Source organism: Homo sapiens, chromosome 6 (assembly GCF_000001405.40).
Source record: "Homo sapiens chromosome 6, GRCh38.p14 Primary Assembly".
In the NCBI taxonomy this organism is placed as follows: Eukaryota; Metazoa; Chordata; class Mammalia; order Primates; family Hominidae; genus Homo; species Homo sapiens.
Window position 1 is genome coordinate 4,586,584 of NC_000006.12, and position 2,233 is coordinate 4,588,816.

Genomic DNA, 2,233 nt, shown 5'->3' on the forward strand with positions numbered 1-2,233 from the left:
AGGCTGAGAACCCAGGAAAGAACCAATGCCTCAGTTTGAGTCCAAAGGCTGTCTGCTGGCAGAATTTCCTCCTGCTTGGGGAAGGTCAGTCTTTTGTCCTATTCAGGCCTTCAACTGATTGTATGAGACCCACCCATACTGTGGAGGGCGATCTGCTTTACTCAAAGTCGGCTTTCCTCAAACTGATTTAAATGTTAATCTCATCCAAAACACTCTCATAGAAACATCCAGAATAATGCTTGACCACATTCCTGGGCCATGACCCAGCCACACTGACACATAAAATTAACCATCACAGCCTCTAATTAGGATATTCTCCCTTTCCTTCTCTGACAAAGGCCCCAGGACCTTTGTAGCTTCTCTCCTTTCTGTGGCTGTCCCACCTCTTGCTCCCCTGGGTTGTTCTGTCCCAAACCTGGCTGAAGAGAGAACTCAACCTCCCTACCTTGTAACACTGAAGACGAGCAGGTGTACAGGCCCATTCTGTCTGCAAGGTTTTCTACTAATCATGACCAGAAACAAAGTATAATAACAACTAAAAATGGGGAGGATCCAGGGTTAGACAATCACACTGTGCTCTTCCCATTTGTTCTGTCTCCCTTTCTGACATTGTAACTGGACATTTTGGGCTTCTGTTATCTATGTATGTCCTTGAAGGTTGATCTTAACTGACCATGATTCTCCGAACACGGCAAGTTCCAACAGGGCAAAACAGAAGCCAACGCGAAGGCCTTTAATCTACAGAGGGTGGTTTGCATTTCTGAGGAAACTTCCAACTGCTCCCTCTGGCTCTGTTCTTGCAGGGACATTCCCTTGGGACATATTCTCCCTGGAGGCTTGTCCTACAGAGGAATTTATAAAATCTTTAGAACATTGTGTATAACCATTTCAAAGAACTTAGGTTTTTAACTTAGCAGAAAACAAACAGTTATTAATCCTTTCTCTTCCTCTACCCCTCACTTTATAACAGTAAAGTCAAGAATTCCACCTTTTCTGAAAAAGAACGCAGTGGATCTGTGCTGAGGCCATCAGCACTGCCCGCTGTCCAGCCCTCTCTCCCTTCCAGATCCAGTGCCTGCCATGTTCCTTGTCCCCATCCATTCTTGGGCTCACCTTCCAGCCCTTTCCACAGCCAAGCCAGGTGGACAAAACTGTGGCACGTTGCAGCTTTTTCTCACCTCTTCTTAATTATTTAGACTCTTTTCCGACTTTTACTATTATTATATTAGTGGGGGAAAAAAGGATGTAGAATCTTAAGCATGGTAGAAACCATCGGAAGAGGACACGATATGAAAATGTTTGCTGAGTGTGTGTTTAATTCCTGTCCTGACTGTGCTTTCTTTTTCCATCATCTCAGAGATGAGTCAAAAACCTCACCTGGTCGCCTCCTCATGGTCCTCCATCCTATCTGCTCTCCCTACCCCTCAGTCCACCCTGCACATGGCTCTCAGGTTACTCTTCCCCTAATGCATCCCCTTGAGAGATATTTTCCCACTCAAGCATTTCAATGGGTCCCCAGTCCCTACACAATACCTTCCACAATCCGGTCATAATCTGCCTTTCTCAACAGATTCACTCACTCTCTCATTCACTCATTCATTCAAATACATCTGTATGGAGCACCTGCTAGGTGCCAGGCCCTGGAGACCCAGGTCAAGAGTAAGCTAGGGTAGACCCAGTCTCTGCTCTCAAGGGCTCACAGCCTGGCTGGGAAGATGGGGGCGCCTATAAATCATTTCGATGAAATGTGATGATGATGATGATGATGATGATGATAACGATGATGATGATGACGACAAAAAGGAAAGATGGCACTGGGATCTTCTCCCCATTTGTGTGGGTAAACTCTTTGCACTTGGCTGGTTTCCTCATCAAACACTGAAAACGCAACACATTCCATCCTCAGAGCATTTGCTCAGCCATCCCTCTCCCCCTTTGGTTCCTCTTCCCATGTGCACACCCATCTGTCCTTCAAGGCCCAGGTCCTGTCCTGCCTTCTCTGTTGAGTTTTTTCTCATCCACAAAGCCCGCAAAGAACTCTCATTTCCACGCACCCACAAACACTCATAATGAGCCCAAAGCAGGGTCACACAAGAACTTCTAGGCCCCACAAATGCAGCATCCTACATTCCACGTTGTCACAAGAGGAATCCACGTCCAAGTACTCCCAGCCCACATTTGGGGGTAGCAAGAGACCACACATCCCCACTCAGCCCTCACCCAGCCCTCAAAG